The 17,223-nt window shown below is 46.9% G+C and overlaps 1 protein-coding gene across 3 annotated transcripts in view, besides 1 other annotated feature; it reads right to left on the reverse strand.

Annotated features, from left to right (window-relative positions):
• Positions 1–17,223, reverse strand: part of SLIT3 (slit guidance ligand 3) — a 639,400-nt gene that overhangs the window by 152,531 nt on the left and 469,646 nt on the right. For all 3 annotated transcript variants that reach the window (NM_003062.4, NM_001271946.2, XM_017009779.1), the window contains exons 7-8: positions 8,990–9,061; positions 3,030–3,193 (exon numbers count right to left, since the gene is read on the reverse strand). In NM_003062.4, coding sequence (NP_003053.2) covers positions 3,030–3,193; positions 8,990–9,061 — 236 coding nt within the window. The remainder of the gene's footprint in view (positions 1–3,029; positions 3,194–8,989; positions 9,062–17,223) is intronic.
• Positions 8,282–9,481: an enhancer, noted in NCBI's record as "BRD4-independent group 4 enhancer chr5:168249557-168250756 (GRCh37/hg19 assembly coordinates)". NCBI's record gives its function as "activates an origin of replication core promoter dependent on BRD2, P300/CBP, MED14 and CDK7 cofactors, and independent of BRD4, by STARR-seq in HCT116 cells {active_cell/tissue: HCT116}" and the evidence as "EXISTENCE:reporter gene assay evidence [ECO:0000049][PMID:35650434]".

Raw genomic sequence — 17,223 nt, forward strand, 5'->3', positions numbered from 1 at the left:
CCTGTAATCCAGCTACTCAGGAGGCTGAGGCAGGAGAATTGCTTGAACCCGTGAGGCAGAAGTTGCAGTGAGCCAAAATACTGCCATTGCACTCCAGCCTGGGTAACAAGAATGAAACTGTCTCAAGCAAACAAACAAACAAACAAACAAACAAACAAACACCCCACCATAGACAGGTCCATACAAAACAGTATCCTTCAGATGCCTTGTGGGGCTCAGGCATTGGGGCAGGACTGGTTGTTGGTGGTGGCGTGTGGAGTGTGGTCAGTCCTTGAAAATAGCTCTTCTCCTTAACCTCCTTCTCTAGGGCCTCAAAGACTGACCACTCATGTTTCAACTGCACACTCACAGACTGAACCTTCCTCCACATTGCTTCCTCTCAAGGTTTTGTCATTGTCTCACAAAGTGTATTTAACAATTTTTGAAAACGCATTAGGTTGGTGCAAAAGGTACAAAAGTATTCGCAGTTTTTGCAATTGAAAGTAATGGCAGAAACCACAATTATTTTTGCACCCACGTAATAGCAGAAGTCTTTGGAGGGCATGTTCCACATGCACCTGACTCATGATGGTAGGAGTTCAATCTTCATGGATGTTCACTGCACCAGGGCCCCCAGATCTTTATATCTGACCTTGACCTTTTCAGAGAGTAACGGCTCACAGCATTCTAGGTGGTAACCCATGGGAGTCTGCTAAGGCACTTAAAGAATCCCTCATGCATAGGGGTCTCAATATGTCCCTGCCCTTAATTCATACTACAGGCGAGAGGGTGGAGGTTAACAGCATAGTCATGTCTGGAGCCTTTGGACTAAATTCTCATGTTCTCAAAAGACACCTGGCTTCATACTAAGAAGCTCCAGGGACCATCACAAGCAATGGGATTAACTGCTATAAACAGAAGTTGATAAAGGTGCTCCCACGTAACTACGAACCTGTCCGCTGGACCTAGCCTTTCCAAAGGAGAAAGAGTGAGGCATTCAGATTTAATGGACTTTGGAGGGTCAGCCTTTCTCCCCTGGTTTTGGATCCTGACTGCTGCTGGGTGAGCAATGTCTTGCTGCACCTTTGACAGGAAGGTGCTCTCTGATGAAGTGGTGTGTGAGGTCATACACTACATTAAACCTGGCACTCACCTGTAATGATGTGTTTTATCATTCTAATTAGTTTTTCTCACTACCTCTTGGATGACTCTCGTACTCTATAATTATTTCTTTCACTTATGCCGATATTGTACCCTTTGCCGAATAATTACTGTAATTATAGTCACTATATTTGAAGTTGGTGCCTGCGTGATAAATGGTTTTATTATATGTGTTTGATGGGAAGTGATTTCTAAGTGGGTGTCTATAGGAAGTTATTGAGGTACTGCTTGAGACATGTTAAAATATTTTCAGATAATAAATAACATGGTAAAATAACAACATGACAGGAGGAAGCGGCAGAGAATGAGATGAAGTTGAATTCAAGGAAAATTCTTGTATATCGCAAGTGTGATCTAAGAGCAGAAGAGGCCAGAGAGTTTGCGCTTCTGGCCATACTGGAGTCCAGCAGCCCATGCTGGGCCCGGTAAACCCTTTAGTACTAAAGGTGGGCACCAGTTAGAAAGGTGAGAGAAATGCAGAGCTCACAGTGCTTAAGCTCCCTGGGGTCCTTGTTTCCTCTTGCATGCCAACTCCCCAGACTCAGCCTTTAGAGGCCACTGGGCCCCAATTCTGGGACTGGCTTCCTGGAAATCAAAATACCTCTTTGGGAAATTTCTCAACTGAATGCTTTCTGTTTTTTTTGTTTGTTTGTTTTTTTAGGAAGTCAAGGAATTAGCTCTACTTATTTACCACAGAAAAAGGAAGAGTTGGTGAGAATGGAAGGTGCCAATGCAAAGTAAAAGCAAACAACTAAAATTTGGGACCCTGGTTCTTTTATTTATTTTTTTAATTTTTGAGACATTTCACTGTCGTGGCCCAGGATGGAGTACAGTGGTGCGATCTTGGCTCACTACAGTCTCCACCTCCCAGGTTCAAGCGATTCTCCTGCCTCAGCCTCCTGAGTAGCAGGGATTACAGGTGCCCGCCACCACGTCCAGCTAATTTTTGTATTTTTAGTAGAGACGGGGTTTCACCATGTTGGTCAAGCTGGTCTTGAACTCCTGACCTCAGGTGATCCACCTGCTTTGGCCTCCCAAAATGCTGGGATTACAGGTATGAGCCACTGTGCCCAGCCAGGACTCTGTTTTAAAGCTACATCCCCTGGAAAGATTTTCCTGGGTTACTCAGCCACCTCCCATCCCCAGAGATCTGAGCTGCCTTCAGTTATGTGTCTGCATCATTCTGTTTTCTGTGCCACATAGGCAATCTGTGCTTCTGTTACATTTCGATTACCCACAGATCAAACTCTTATGTTTGCTCAGCACATTTTGTGAGCCCACTAAACTATAATAATTAAGCTCCACTGATTTAGCTTTTACCAAGGGCTGTGTATTATGCTAAGTGCTTTATATGCATTATTTCACTTAATCCTCCCACCTGTTCTTTGAGTTATGAACTATTATTATTTCCATATTGCGGATGAGCAGTAACTTGCCAAAGTCACACACCACTAAGGGACAGAGCTGAGATTTCCAGCCAAGCAGCTGACTCCAGAGCCTACATTATCTTGTCTTCCAATTTCTATGAGCAATGGGACGACAGGAACATGTTTAGCAGATGCTAGAACACCTCCGTTATACCTGTTTCCATTTTATGTGTGGCTCAACAAATGTTCGGTTTCTAGTATCAATGGACTAGGGGCTGAAAAAGTAGTTCATGAATTCTTTTAGCATTTCCCTTTACCAGATGACAAGAGTTTCTGTTTTAAAACCCTTTGAGGCACGTCACAGTTCTTTAAGTGACTACTGAGTACTGAGGACGACCTATGGGGTTCCTTCCACACCAAGCTCTGGGCTAGGGTATGTGTTCAAGGTCAGGGTGATGTTGTGGGAGCTCATGGGTGGGTGGGTCATAGCACAGGAGGGGAGAGCAGGTAAAGCATCCTCACCTGGGCACACGTACTCCTTCTTCTGCACATCCGCCACGTTGAAGCCCCTCAAATGCACAGGAGCCATGCAGAGTGTGAACTGGCCAACTGTCCGTCGCTGTCGCAGCCAATCCGAGAGCCAGGCCAGGTGGCAGTCGCAGTACAGGTGGTTGGAGTGGAGGCGCCTGGGAGAGGGCGGGACAGAGAGAAGGCATGGTCACAGGTGAAGTGTGGAGGCTGTCACTGGCCAGACAGAGTGACCAAAACCCCTGTTGCCCCTTTCTCCAGTGTGAAAATCCCTAGGAGCCCAGGGAAGCAATTCCCTCTGCACTACCAAAAACATGGGAGCCCCAACCCTTTCATTGCCAGGTCACATCCAAAGGATGCCTCCGGGGTTCTGAGCAAAGCTCATTTTTTAATAGCAAGTCCACCCTCTTTTCTTTTCACTCAAGCAAGCCTCAGCACATGAGAAAAGGGGAGTGACATTATTACAGTGACATCCTGATTGGAGTCAAACTTACAAAAGGGCTATTTATTTGTAAATTTCAGCACTTTAGCCAGCATGAGTTACAGGTTGCTTGAAACATGCTTCTCAATCTCAATGCCCCCATCTCCAGCGACATGCAGCTGAGAGACGCTGTTGCCTTTCCCTGAGTTGTTCTTCGTTCCCCCGCTAAGTGTCCTTTAATAAACCCACTGCATGTAATGCTTGTGGGCTTAAAACCAATACCACTTTGTGTGCACTAGCTGGAGTGAGCAGGCTGCAGACAGAAGGGAAATTTTTAGAGGATGTACCTTCTTTCCACCCTCCCACTTAAATAAGGTGTTGTCTGTACCAGACTCTTGCAATCCATAGCCATCTCTCCACAGTGCCCTTGCTTTCCTTCCTGTGTTCAATTCTGTCTGGTGTATTTGCTATTCTGACTGATTCAGGTATGGCTGAAAATATTTTCTAACCAGTTCTAGGACGCTTTGGCTTTCCCCCTCTGGTAGTTGTGGTTCCGGATGAATTTCTTGCCCCTGAGTAGATAAGAATCCCTGGAGGGATCTGTGTGTTTCACTTCTGAGGGGAATCCCATCAAGTTAAGTGACTTGAACTTCCTTTCCACTACCAGGGAGGCAAACTAAGGATATCCAGGGGCTTCTAAGGCAAACTACGGATATTCCAGGTTCTTCCCCCAAGGTCTCTCTATCAGGGGTTTCCCATTTCCACGTTCCCTACAACCCTAGGTCACTAGAAGTTGGTAGTGGGTAAGTTTTCATCACGTCAGCTTGTCATGTACTTGCATTTCGGATGCACATTTTAAATGCCTAAATCCTGGACATGCTAATCAGCTAGCAGTATATAAAGACTTTCAAGTAGTCTGTGTCAAGCCAGTTATTACTGAGTGTCAGCCCTGTGGAGAGGCTCAAGCCCCCTCCACGCCTGGAATAGAGAGAGCTGAAGGGCTCTTGACCAAGCTCCACTTAGTGTAAGGTCAACATTGCCAAACACTGGCCAAGTGCAGCTACCTCCTGCTGGATGCCAGCAGGGCCTTCCTGCCACTGTGTGGGCAAAAGCCTCCCATAGGCCTGGGCCACTGGGGCCTTGGCCGCCGCAGGGGGCTCCAGATCCCATCATATCAGATAGATTAAATGAACCTATATCCCATATAAAATGTAATTTTTTCTGCTAACAATTTTGAAAAAGACTTTTATGATTTTGTTTCAAAAATAATTAATCTGGATGTAATTTCCTTTTTGCATTTCCCAGTGGGTTGCACACACTTTCACAGGCTCCTGGGCCCAAGATACAGTGAGTACAATGGGTCCCACGCAGTTCTCCCCTTTGAGTTTGAAAGCTTAGAGTTCTTGAGCTGAAGCAAGCACTGCTTGCTCTTCGCCTGGACTCTGGAAAGAAGTGAGACAGGCAGGAAGGGGTTGGCGAACCAGAATCCTAAGCTGGTGGGAAGGACCTCAGTTCTAGGAGGGAAAGCAAAACCTCTGTTTATTCATTAAGCATTAACCACTTTATGCCAAAAACAGAGAGGAGGCTTGGCAGTGGACTTTCAGCTGACTTTTCGCCGGGTATAAATGTTGCCCAAGGAACACGGCAACAGTAGGTCTGTCTGGGACAAAGCAGACCACAGGGCAGCCTGCCGTGGCATGCGCAGGCTGAGGTGCCGTTCTTTTGTGTGCCGGGAGAAGCAGAACCTTTTAATGAGCGTTTGGCTTTTATTTGGAAAGGTGGTTGCCCTCTTGTGCAGTGAGGCGCGGAAGCTGAGGCAACAGGGATTCTCTATGAGCCAAGGAGCATGTGTGCATGTGGCGGATCACAGATCAATGCAAACAAATTCCCGTCGGTTCCGATCAAGGGTAAGAGATCAATGGAACAACAAAAATGACGTTTAGGTAAGTCAGATCCTTACTGAGCTGATTAATTTCTGGGATAATAAAAATGTCAGAGGTTTCCCTTTTGGAAGATTCTATTAGGTTGATCCTGTCTCAATCCTGGCTGGCTGGCCCCAAGCTATCTCTCTTCTTAATCTTGATACAGATAGTTCCTATCCCTTTGTCCGTCTTAATAGAAATTTTTCTCCTCCCAAGAGCACCAGAGGAAAGAGGTGACCCAGACTGATTTGGAGCCATCAGAGGGCTCTCGTCAAAAGCCCAGGGCAGTGGAGTCCAGGGTGGTGAACAGACTCCACTCCCTCTTCTTGGAATTGTATCCACCAGAAATGCTAAAAGAGTCAAGCTGGGTAGATTCTTGCCTTTCACAACATGTTTGGGAGATCAAGCTAAGCAATACCATGTCAAATAGTAAAAGAAAAATAATCATAATGGCATGAAATTAGAGCTTAGGCACTGTCAGGGGTAGCGCTAATCCTCTTGAGTGAGAAGGGACATTATTTTAATTACTTTCAATAGTTTTGGTGAGGTGTGACAGCAACGACACAAGGGAGGGTGGCCTCCATAGGCTCCTGGGCTGTGCAGAGGCTCTTATCCCCCTTCTTCTGTTCACCTGGCACCTGCTCTTCTGCTTTTGTTCCTGATGAATGGCCTGAGCTCAGGCTGTGATGGCAAACTGCCTGAGTCTGACACTGGCTCCGTGCTTTCTGACTTTGACTTCGGGTGGCAATTTAACTCTGGGCCTCAGTGTTATCATCTGTCAAATGGGGATATTAGTGATGCCTCCTTCCTAGGGCTGCTGTGAGAATTGAAATGATTCATGGGAAGTGCTTAGTACAAGGCCTGGCACGCAGCAAACCACTGAAGAAATGTTCACTGTTAATTACGACTGACAGGAGACTAGCTCCAGACTTCACTCTCTTCCCAGCCCATGGCCCTGCCTGGACAAGGCTGCAGTTTCTCATTTAGATACTGTAGCACCGAGGTGGCTAGGTGGGTCCTGCATGTTGTTCTGCAATCTTTTGCTGATGGACACATCATATTCCATGTTGATGAAACCACCTCTACAGAACATAAGGTGAATGAATACAAATGCCAATTTATAAAAGGTGCCTTTTAGCCACAGACGCTAAATTAAATTTCCAGCAAATCCTTTTAGAGAGGGTCAGTGTTCATTTTCTATAAAATGTGGCTTTCTAAATTCAATATAAAAGCTTTCCTTTAGAAATCCCATTTATGGCTTCCTTCCTCTCTCCTCTTCCCCGCTTCTCCACCACCACCAGCCGTCCCCCCCAACCCCATACACACTTTAATTACAGTGAAGGGGGATTAGTCAGCTCAAGTCTCCAGGGAGTTCTGTACAGAGCCATCTCTGAAATTAAACTAAAGAGAAAATGGCAGCAGGCAGGGAGCAAAGAGAACAGACGAGATTGATTGATTGATCTGAACTCATCAGATGAATGTTCGGGATGGCAGAGAAGAATGACAACAGAAACCAGTAGAAAAAAACCCTCCTGTTCTCTTCCCCCGCCCTACTGCAGCCCAAACAAAGTACCCCAGATCCAGGCCTAACCCTGTCCCTACAACTCCCAGGGAATGAGCCCAGCTTCTGTTATTGCTGCTTCTAAACTGAAAATAACAAAGAAGGGAAGGATAAATCACAGGAACAGCTCACAGGAGCTGGACGGCTGATTCCTGCAGGTGAGAGTCATTTTTCTTCGATGCAACCCACATGTCTGGGGTAATGCAGGCCCAGCACCCTGAGGTGCACTCTTGGCTTCTTGCCCAGAAGCCCTGGGTCCCACTTTTCCCCAGCTCATCTGTGGTTTGCTGGGAACTTTGAAGAGGTCTTTGAAGACCAAATGGCTTCTTAAAATTCCATTACTGCACTACCCTATTTTAAGAGGGAGGGAAAGGAACAGATTTTCTTGGCTGAGTTATGCTTTTCAATGAGGGATCCAGGAAAGAATTTGGGAAGCAAAGATGGAAGCAGGGCTCAGATTATTATTCTTTATAATAACGAGTATTTGTTGTGTGCACACCATGTACCAGGCACTTTATGTGTTAAACTGCACTTCATTCTCACAGCAACTTTGAGGCAAGCATTCATGAACTCACTTTCCTTGAAGCACAGAGAAATGAAGAAACTTGCTCAAATTAAGTGGCAGAGCTCCCATTTAAACTCAGGCCTAACTGCAAACTCTGTGTCCTTCTTAGGGTTCTCTGTATTACCTCTTTATATAAATTGCTTCTTTGGTCTTTGTTTTATCTTTGCCTGAAGATAAAGTTGCTTTCTCATGAATGCAGTGGTTCTCAAACTTTATGAGCATTAAAATCTCCTGGAGGGCTTATGAAAAACAGATTGCTGGGTGCCACCCCAAGAGATTCTGATCTGGTATGTCTGGTATGGGGCCTGAAATCTTGCTTTTCTAACAAGTTCTGGGTGATATTGATGCTGCTGGTCTAGGGACCCCACTGTGGAAGCTCTGCTCTAAGGATTTCCAAATCTCATGGATTGTACAGGCAGCACAGATCAGATGGCTGCTTGGAACTTTCAGTCCAGATTTCTGATCGTGTGATAATAATGTAACAATCAATATCATTTATTGTCTACTGCTTGCCAGGCACTTTAAATATCTAATTTCATCTGATCCTCACCACCATTCCTATTTATAGAGGAGGGAACAGAGGAAACAGAGCTAATAAAGGGGACTGCAGGAATTCTAGCCCTTGGCCTTGGCCCTAAATGTTTTTGGCTGACACCCTTGGGAGCTGGCTCTCCCTGACCAGTGTGAGGCAAATACCACCGAAGCTCCACCAACACAAGCCAAGTATCAAGTCTGAACCTCTCTGGAAAGGCTGATAGAGTCCACTTACAGAGAAACTTACAAAGAGGTTCCTGACTGGGAGCAGAGGGGAACTCCCCAGGTAATAAGAGCACTAGAACTGCTCTCGGTATTGGTCACGATGAGGAGATTTGTTTCCTGAGTATGCACCCTGGAAAACTTAAGCCCACCTAAGACATCAAAGGTAAAGAACCAAGTATGAGAAAGACGGCATTCTAATGTCAGAATATCATCCAGGGAGCAGGTGAGCAGGGAAATGTGCTGGGTGGGGGCTGGCTGGGTGGAGAGAAGGAGTGACTCTCCTGTACTGTCATTCCTCAGGGGAAAACCATTGCAACCACTGGCAATCTGACAGAACTGCTGATGTTACGTGACATTAGCTAAGCAAATGGTGAATCATTCAGTCAGAGTTCTATATGCTTTGTGACAATGTAAAACTAATCTCTTCTATCAGGACGGAAAACATGCACACAACACAGGAAGAATTCCCACAGTTCTAGGGTAAGAGAAATGAGTCTGTCTGACGCAGAACGGTGGTTCAGAACCATGGTTGGTGGCACCATGACCTGACTCTACATCTACCCTCACTCGCCAAGGCACCCCTTGGTTAATAGCAGAAGGAGGAATTTGAATGTCGGAACCATCTGCCTAGTCATAGCATGGTAGGTTTGACAAGCAGCGTAGAGTGCTGCACTTTGGGCGTGAGGTAGGGAGAAAATGGGAGAGATGCACAGACTTCTTACTCACAGAGTTCGGATCTTCGGCATGTGGTTGAAGCTGGTGACCAGGATGCGACTGATGTTGTTGTTGTTGAGGGTACTGTGGAGATAGACAAGGGAGATGGTCAGCCAGGCAGCAGCAGGGGAGGCACCAAGATGCTTGTAGTAGGTCGGGGGAGGGATGGTTGTGACCGCAAGACCATGAGTCAACAGTCATGGCCCAGCCAGTGGAGCAGCTGAAGACAAGTGGACAGGTCTCCAGACGAGAAGAGCATGCCCTGACTTTTTTATTCAGGTGGAGCCCTCCTTCCCTCTACTGTCCTCTCAGGACTTGCCTACCCACCTTGAGTAAGAGTATCGCTTCCTGAAACCCTCCTATGCACTGAGTGCTTCATTATAACATCTCTAATTCTTACATCTACAATGCCAGTTACCTATTCCTGTCCTCGGTTTATGGAGAAGGAAACAGATATGCTTAATAACACACAAATCTACAAATGTGTTATCCTCATATTATGGATGAGGAGGCTGAGCCACAGGGAGGCAAAATAAGTTTTCCAAGAACAATCACTGCAAAGCTCTGGAGGTGGGATCTGAGTCCAGCACTACCTTGCTGCATTCTCCTTGATACTCCCATTGCATGTGTTGCCTCGCACAGGATGCTGTGGGGATAGGTGATTCTGTATTTTCTAGGCATCTTCTGACTCTTTCAGCACATCTAATCTTTTTATTTTGAGACGGGGTTTCGCTCTTGTCACCCAGGCTGGAGTGCAGTGGCACGATCTCAGCTCACTGCAACCTCCGCCTCCCGAGTTCAAGCGATTCTCCTGCCTCCACCTCTCAAGTAGCTGGAATTACAGGCGCCTGACTAATTTTTGTATTTTTAGTAGAGACAGGATTTCACCATGTGGGCCAGGCTGGGCTCAAACTCCTTGACCTCACATGATCCACCCCGCCTTGGCCTCCCAAAGTGCTGGGATTACAGGTGTGAGCCACTGTGTCAGCCTTCAGCACATCTAATCTCAAACAAGTCTGTGAGCTCTGCGCATCTCTTCTTTCCGGTGCATCTCTACGACCATGAACGGAGCTCCTACGGTGCCTGTTAGCTCTGACAGGTACTTTTGTGCAGGGAAAAGCAAAGAGAAAGGTGTGAGCTCCATAAATGAACCAGACTGAAATGAGGCTGTTGAAGAATGAAGCCAGGCTATAGGCAAGTACCCGGGCTTACCCTTCTGGAGAAACCTATTATGGAAGCCTAGGGAAAGCATGGCACCTAAGGAAGGCCATCTGCAGAGGCAGAAACATCACGTAGCAGGAGGGCCTTTTGCATCAGTTACTTCAGTGACTACCCAGGTGGAGAGACATAATATGTGGGGAAGTCAGGCATAGCTCTCAGCTCCCTGACCCCACACCTGCCTCACTATACCTCCCAAAGAGGAAGAGTTGGATACAGCCCTTGGTACAATTCCTCATGGTGGCCACTTGTTCCTGTGCCCTTCTATTCTCCGCTCCTCCCAGAACCACATCAGACATCCCTTACTCAACAATCCAATTCCTCTTACCCTCTCCTGAGCCTCCATGGGTCCCTACTGGCCCAGGAAGGACCCTTTCTTTGGAAGCCTTCATGGGTTAAGCCAGATGTCTTTTGCCCTTGGCTTTTCGTAAACACATTATCTTCCGCTTCAAATGCCCTCTACATCATACGTCTGCAAAGGCAGGACCATTTTCTGTCCTGTGCATTACCATAGCCTCATGTCCTGCTCTGTACATGGTTGAAATCAAATCCTACTACTTCCGAATTGTGTGGCCTTGGGCAAGTTATCAATATCTCTTATCTGCAGGTTCTTTATTTGTGGGAGGAAACAGGTAATGGTACCTACCTCACAGGCTGGTAAAAGGCTTAGCATGGGGTATGTGCTCAGTAAGTGGAGGCCACTATGTTACTGACATTCATGGAGAGAATCTAGTCCTGGCCTGGCCTATTATATTCCCCTCTACTCCAACCCCCATGGAAATAGAGGTTTACTCAGCATACAGTGCCCCCCATATTCTCCATCCTACCCAAGGGGACCTGTAACAATTCCTTCTCCAGCCCCTTGTGAGCCCAGTCCAAAGCAGGATTCCAGTGGCCTCACCTCCCTTGGCCCAGACTATCCGTGTAATCCCCCACATCTACTTATCATCTGCGTGGTGAAAGGCACAGAACCTAATTCTTCTTTCTCCCTCCCTCCCTCCCATATTTACTGTGCACCTACCATGTGTCTGACACTGTTAGGCATATGGGATGGTAAAGAAGAACGAACAGACAAAATTTACATTGCCTGCTCCTGCCTACTTTATGACTTCACTAACTCGCCAATGCAGGTATTTGGCATTTTATGAAGTTGAGCCCACTTAGCGGTTTTGTTTCATATGGCTTCTTTTCTGTGTGTGTGTATGTGGGGAGATGCTCAGTGGGGGATAATCTATCCTGCCTCTGTCCATCCAGAAAGCTTCCAGAAGATCTCATCAAACAACACTGAAGAATTTGTCACTGCTATCAGACCAGGCACTCTGCCTTGGCAGGGAGCTTCCTGGGGGTGAGGGCTATGCTTCTCTCCCCTTCTTCATTGGATTAGAAATGCCTCCAGGGCAGAAATGATCCCTCCATTTCACCTTCTGTCCATTTCAGAGTTCTGGGCTCCACACTTAGGGGAAACCAAGTTAAGGTTGTTGACTGACCACCAGACAAAAAAATCTGAGCATCCTCCCTATCTTTCAAAGAGCAAGAACCCTTTGCAGAGAAGGGGCTTCTTTCCAAGCACACCCAGTCATTCAACATCAGGTGGAGTTCACAGCCTGGCTCTAATTTAGCTGAATATACAGTACAATTATAAGCAGGGCCTCAACTATAACTGCATCCGGCAGTAGTCCAGCAGCGATGACTTATTAATGTATTACTACACTGATATTTAAATGTGAGTCGTAATGAGTGCTATAAAACATTTACGATAATAGCAATTATTCCAGAACCAAAATGACTAAACACAGTATTCAGACTTTCATGATTTGCTGCTTGGGGCTGGCCAGCCCGGGGATGTCAGAGGGTTGGTAACCTCTCAGACGCTGATTGCTACGACAGCTACAGTTTTCGTTTCCCTAATAAACACAGATTTATTTGATTTCCAGTCTTGGCAGCTTTTGCCCACACACAGAGTACTGCATTCTATTTGCTTCTTGTGCCGCTGCCTAAGTAGCTGGCATTCAATGAAGGAATTGTTGTTACAACCCCAATGCCAAGGAGAGGTGGTGAGCATGGACCTCGAAGGCAGAGACTAGTTTAGACTGGCTCTGCCACTTACAGCCTATGCAACCATGGGTAAATTTCTTAATCTCATTACGTTTCCTCCTTTGTAACATGGAGATAATAATAGCACTGGGCTCATAGAGCTTTAGTGGCAATTAGATGAGATGTTACTGATAACTGCTAACATTAACTGAGAGCTTATTATATGCCAGACGGGCTCTGAGCTAAGGGTACTGCATTGTACCGTTTCTTTTCTTTTTCTGAGACAGAGTCTCGCTGTGTCGCCCAGGCTGAAGGGTAGTGGTGTGATCTCGGCTCACTGCAACTTCTGCCTCCTGGGTTCCAGCAATTCTCCCTGCCTTAGCCTTCTGAGTAGCTGGGATTACAGGTGCCCACCACCACGTCTGGCTAATTTTTGTGTTTTTTAGTAGAGACAGGGTTTTGCCATGTTGGCCAGGCTGGTCTTCAACTCCTGACCTCAGGTGATCCGCCTGCCTAGGCCTCCCAAAGTGCTGGGATTACAGGTGTGAGCCACCATGCCCAGCCTGTATCGTTTCATTTAATTCCTCCAATTATCCCACGAGGCAGGGACTTTTAATATCACCTCCATTTCATGATTGAAGCATGTGGTAGTGCCAAGATTTGAGTCCAAGCAAGACTGAGTCCAGGAATGAGGCCCATGTTAGTTTCCTATGGCTGCTGTAACAGATTACCATGGATTTGGTGGCTCAAGGCACCACACATTTATTCTCTTACAGTTTTGCAGTCAGAAGTCTAAAATGGGTTTCTGGGGTGCGTTTCTTTCAGGGGAGAATTTGCTGCCTTGCCTTTTGCAGCTTGTAGAGACCACCCATGCCCCTCGGCTCATGGCTGCTTCATTGCGTCACTTCAACCTCTTCTTTTTGTTACTCAACGATTTTTTAAAAAATATATTTGAACACAGCTCCAAACAGCCATTGAAGCCTCTTGCTTCTGTTGTCACATCTCCTGACACTCACTGTGATCTCCACTTCCTGGGACCTTCCTCTTACAAGGCCCCTCGTGATTACCCTTAGAGCTTATCTGAACAATCCAGGATAACTCCTCCATCTCAGGATCCTTAATGTTGTCCCATGTGCCAGGTCCCTTTTGCCATGTAAGACAACATTCATAGGTTTCTGGGATGAGGTCATGGACATCTTTGGGGGCCTATTAGCTCAATGCCAGGGTACTGAGGCAGGACAAGGGCTCCCCAGGCGGGATGAATACATGAAGATTCACATAATGGACAGCTCCAGGGGTTGGCAAACAACTGCCCACAAGCCTAATCCCATCCAATGCAGCCTGTTTTTGTAAAACTGGTTTTACGCATTCACTTTTGTATTGTCGATCTGCTTTTGCATTACAATAGCTGGGTAGTTGACACACAGGCCATATGGCTTGCAAAGCTAAAATATTTTCTATCTGGATTTTTATAGAAATTTTGTTGGCCCTTGGCTGCTGTAGAACTGAACCATCCTGTCTCTGCCTTTGTCAGTGATTAAATGTGATATGCTAGGCAAGGCACATAACTGCTCGGAAAGAAGAGGGGTTTAGGTCAGAGGCATTCAAAACTTAAAAACCACAAAAAACATTTTCAGAAATCCCAACTGGCAAGTAGTAGCATTGGGATTCAAAAGCAGGTAGTCTCACTCCTACCTTGGAAGATCAGTCCCGCTCTTTCTGGAACCTGCAATGCCGTGATGGAATCGGAACCTAGGGGAAGGCCCTGCTCAAGAGAGACGACAGGTGAATCCACCTTGGGTTGTGCATGGAAGGAACTTGGGCAGTGGTTCTCAAAATGTGGTCCCCAGACTGGGTGCAGTGGCTCATGCCTATAATCCCAGTACATTGTGAGGCCACAGCGGGAGGACTGCTTGAGCCTAGGAGTTTGAGACCAGCCTGGGCAACATAGGGAGAACCTGTCTCTACCAAAAAAATGAAAAATAAAATAAATACATTAAAAAAATAAAAATTAGCTGGGTATGGTGGTGAGCAACGGCAGTCCCAGCTACTTGAGGGGCTGAGGTGGGAGGATCACTTGAGCCTGGTAAGTCAAGGTTGCAGTGAGCCAGGATCATGCCATTGCACTCAGCCTGGGTGACAGAGTGAGATCCTGACTCAAAAAAAAAAAAGAAAAAAGAAAAAAAAATGTGGTCTCTAGACTAGGCCTATCACCTGGTAACATGTTAGAAATGCATATGCTCAAGCCCCTACTGAATCAGGAACCCTGGGGTGGGTCTCAGCCTTGTGTGTTTAATGAGCTTTCCAGAGGAGTCTCATGCAAGTTCGTGTTGGAAAACCATTGAACTACGGAAAAAGCTAAGAATAGAGCCTTTACTTAAGTGTAGAGGGTAGTATACAGGATGCTCTTTTGCAGCAACTAGGACTGAAGGCCTCTTCTGGGGCAGGCGTGGTGTTTCCCCACTTAGGAAGAAGCCTAAACTCTGAAATCAACGGAGGTGGCTGTAACCACCTTTGGAGAGCTCCAACTTGGCTTCTGCCCCTGGCTTCCACTGTTCCCTTCTGAGTGTCAACGTGGGGCTCTCCACTGCATCCCTCAAGATAGCCATCTTTGATCTGGAGGAGACACGTCCAGCTGCAGCCACCCCACCCTGGCAACCTTAATAAGGCTGATGTTTCCCTCTGTCTCCTCCGATTAGGCCATCGCTTTTTCACTCTGTGCTTTCCTGGCTCTGGTTGTAATCTGCGTGTTGTGTGTCCATAACACCATGTAATTGGCTCTAATGCAACAATATTATCTGTGAGCATGTATCACATAATTGCAAAACCAGGCATCTGCAGTAAGTGCCACTGCAGCCTCTCTGTGTGCCAACCTTCCTGTGGGTATTCTTGGAATCTCTCCTCTTGCCATCCACATAGGTGGGGATCCAGACTCCTTGGGTCCAAGAGATCCTCTTGGTGGGCTGGCCCACTCATGTCCTGTCTCAAGGCAGATAGACTTCTCCCTAAGTCTACATAAGCAAGCTGGTTTCCTCCTTAATGGCCCCCAAGAAGGAGACTCTTGGTAAGTCATCAGCCACCATGACGACAGGATATCTATTTAATAAAGTGGGCTGAGACATGCCCTGAGTTGTACTTACAAATGTGGGCATCCAATGGCCAGCACAGCAAGCCTAGAAGAAAGTGCAATCTCTGCCAGTGCCTACAGTGAATTAACAGAGGTGGATGCAGCCAAAGTACCAGACTCCTTTCCTGAAGAGCAGCTGAGAGTATAAGTCCTGTGGCCGGACCCTGTGAGAAACACCTAAACCACAGGCAGGGGACGATGTGCACAGAGGGGTTCTGGCAGTGTGCGGACCTCAAGGGGAACTCACTGCTGGCCATCCCTCTTGCTTGGCTCAGGCAGGGCAAGAGGAATGAAACTGGGGACACTACAGATTCTTGGGGCTGTCCTTTATGTGCCTGCTCTCCTCTCTGGCTCACAGGTCAAAGCAAGCCACTCTTCTCAGTCTTGCTGGGCAGCTGCTGATGGGCAGCCAACATGGGACCAGGAATCAGGGCCTACTGCTGATGACCAGGCCCTACGACACTCAGGTCCTAAGAGTGATCGTTATTGGCTGACTCAGCTCTATTAGAATCTGCATGGATGGCTTCTCTTTGTGGACTTGGTCCCAGGAGAGCATACACTGAATGCTCAACCCCACTCTCTCAACCTCAGGTTGAGAGGGGCATCCCCAAGCCTCCCGCTCAGCCCAGGGCCTCCATCCTCAGCACCTCCTCCTAAGTACGCTATCATTTTTAAGTGAAACTCCCTTTACTGTTTCCCTCATCTCCAGGTTGAACTTGCCCTTCTCATCCAGCTGTACACTGCTCTAATGTGCCTGGGGGCTCTAGGAAGCTCCAGAAACCAGGAATAAGAACGATGCAATAAAGCATCCTTAGAGAAAACCTAAGCAGAATAGTATAGGTTCTCCTGTGAACACACTACTTTCCTCTAATGAGCTAGACTAGTCAAGGATATCGCTTTGAAGCTTGCCAAAATCTTCCAGTAAAGGTATCTATGATGTTCATAATAGCAGAAATAATGCTGATACTATTTATGAAGTGTTTACTAAGTCCCAGCACTAGCCTGAGCACTTTTCATACATTATCTCATTTAATTCTCCCAACACTCCTGAGATATTATTACTTCCACTTGGAAGCCCAGGAAATGACATAAACTCTGCTCAGATCTCACAGCCAGAGGTGCGGAGCCAATATTCAAAGCCCAGAGGTGTGACACCAGGACCTATATTTTTCATCATTACACAAAACTGCCTCTTACAGGATTGTCTTCAGACAGACAGATGTCACCTTTCCAGCTTCCACATTTTTCCAAGGTGGAGGTGAATCACATGAGTTTGTGAGGGACCCATCCTTTACTGGTCCCAGAAGTGGCAGGGAACATGGTGTTGGCCTCACTGCTGAGGCTGCTCCAAGGCAACAGCACTAGACAGCCCTCCTCCTGTCCAAGGAGCAGGGACAGCTCAGCACAGACAGTGAGGGAAGCAGGAGAGGCAACGCAGGACAGAGGACAACTAGGTCCCAAAGGCGTCTAAGGTCAAAGTTTGGCTAACACGTATCAGTGTTGCCAAAAGCCTAGTGGCCCTTACTGTTGGATAGGTTGACTGGAAATTTTAAGAATACCCTGTAGAATAGAAAGTACAGATCTGCCTGCTCCTTAAGCAAAGCTTCTCTTTTGCTTGTTTGGAGTGGGCGATGGGTCTCCAAGGGCATATGAGGCGGGAGGAGTGAGAGAGATTGGTGGGGGTGGGGGAGAGTGGAGGGAGAGGTGAGACAAGGGTGGGAAGCCATCTCTTTCGCATTACCTGCTTTCCTGGACTATCCTGGGTGCTGCATATTACTGAGTTCCTTGATCTCCCTGTGGACCGTTTAAATTAAAGCTCATAACCATTGTGTGGGCATATAATGAAAACAACTGATGCTGCACTGAT

This window comes from Homo sapiens, chromosome 5 (assembly GCF_000001405.40).
Source record: "Homo sapiens chromosome 5, GRCh38.p14 Primary Assembly".
NCBI classification, from domain to species: domain Eukaryota; kingdom Metazoa; phylum Chordata; class Mammalia; order Primates; family Hominidae; genus Homo; species Homo sapiens.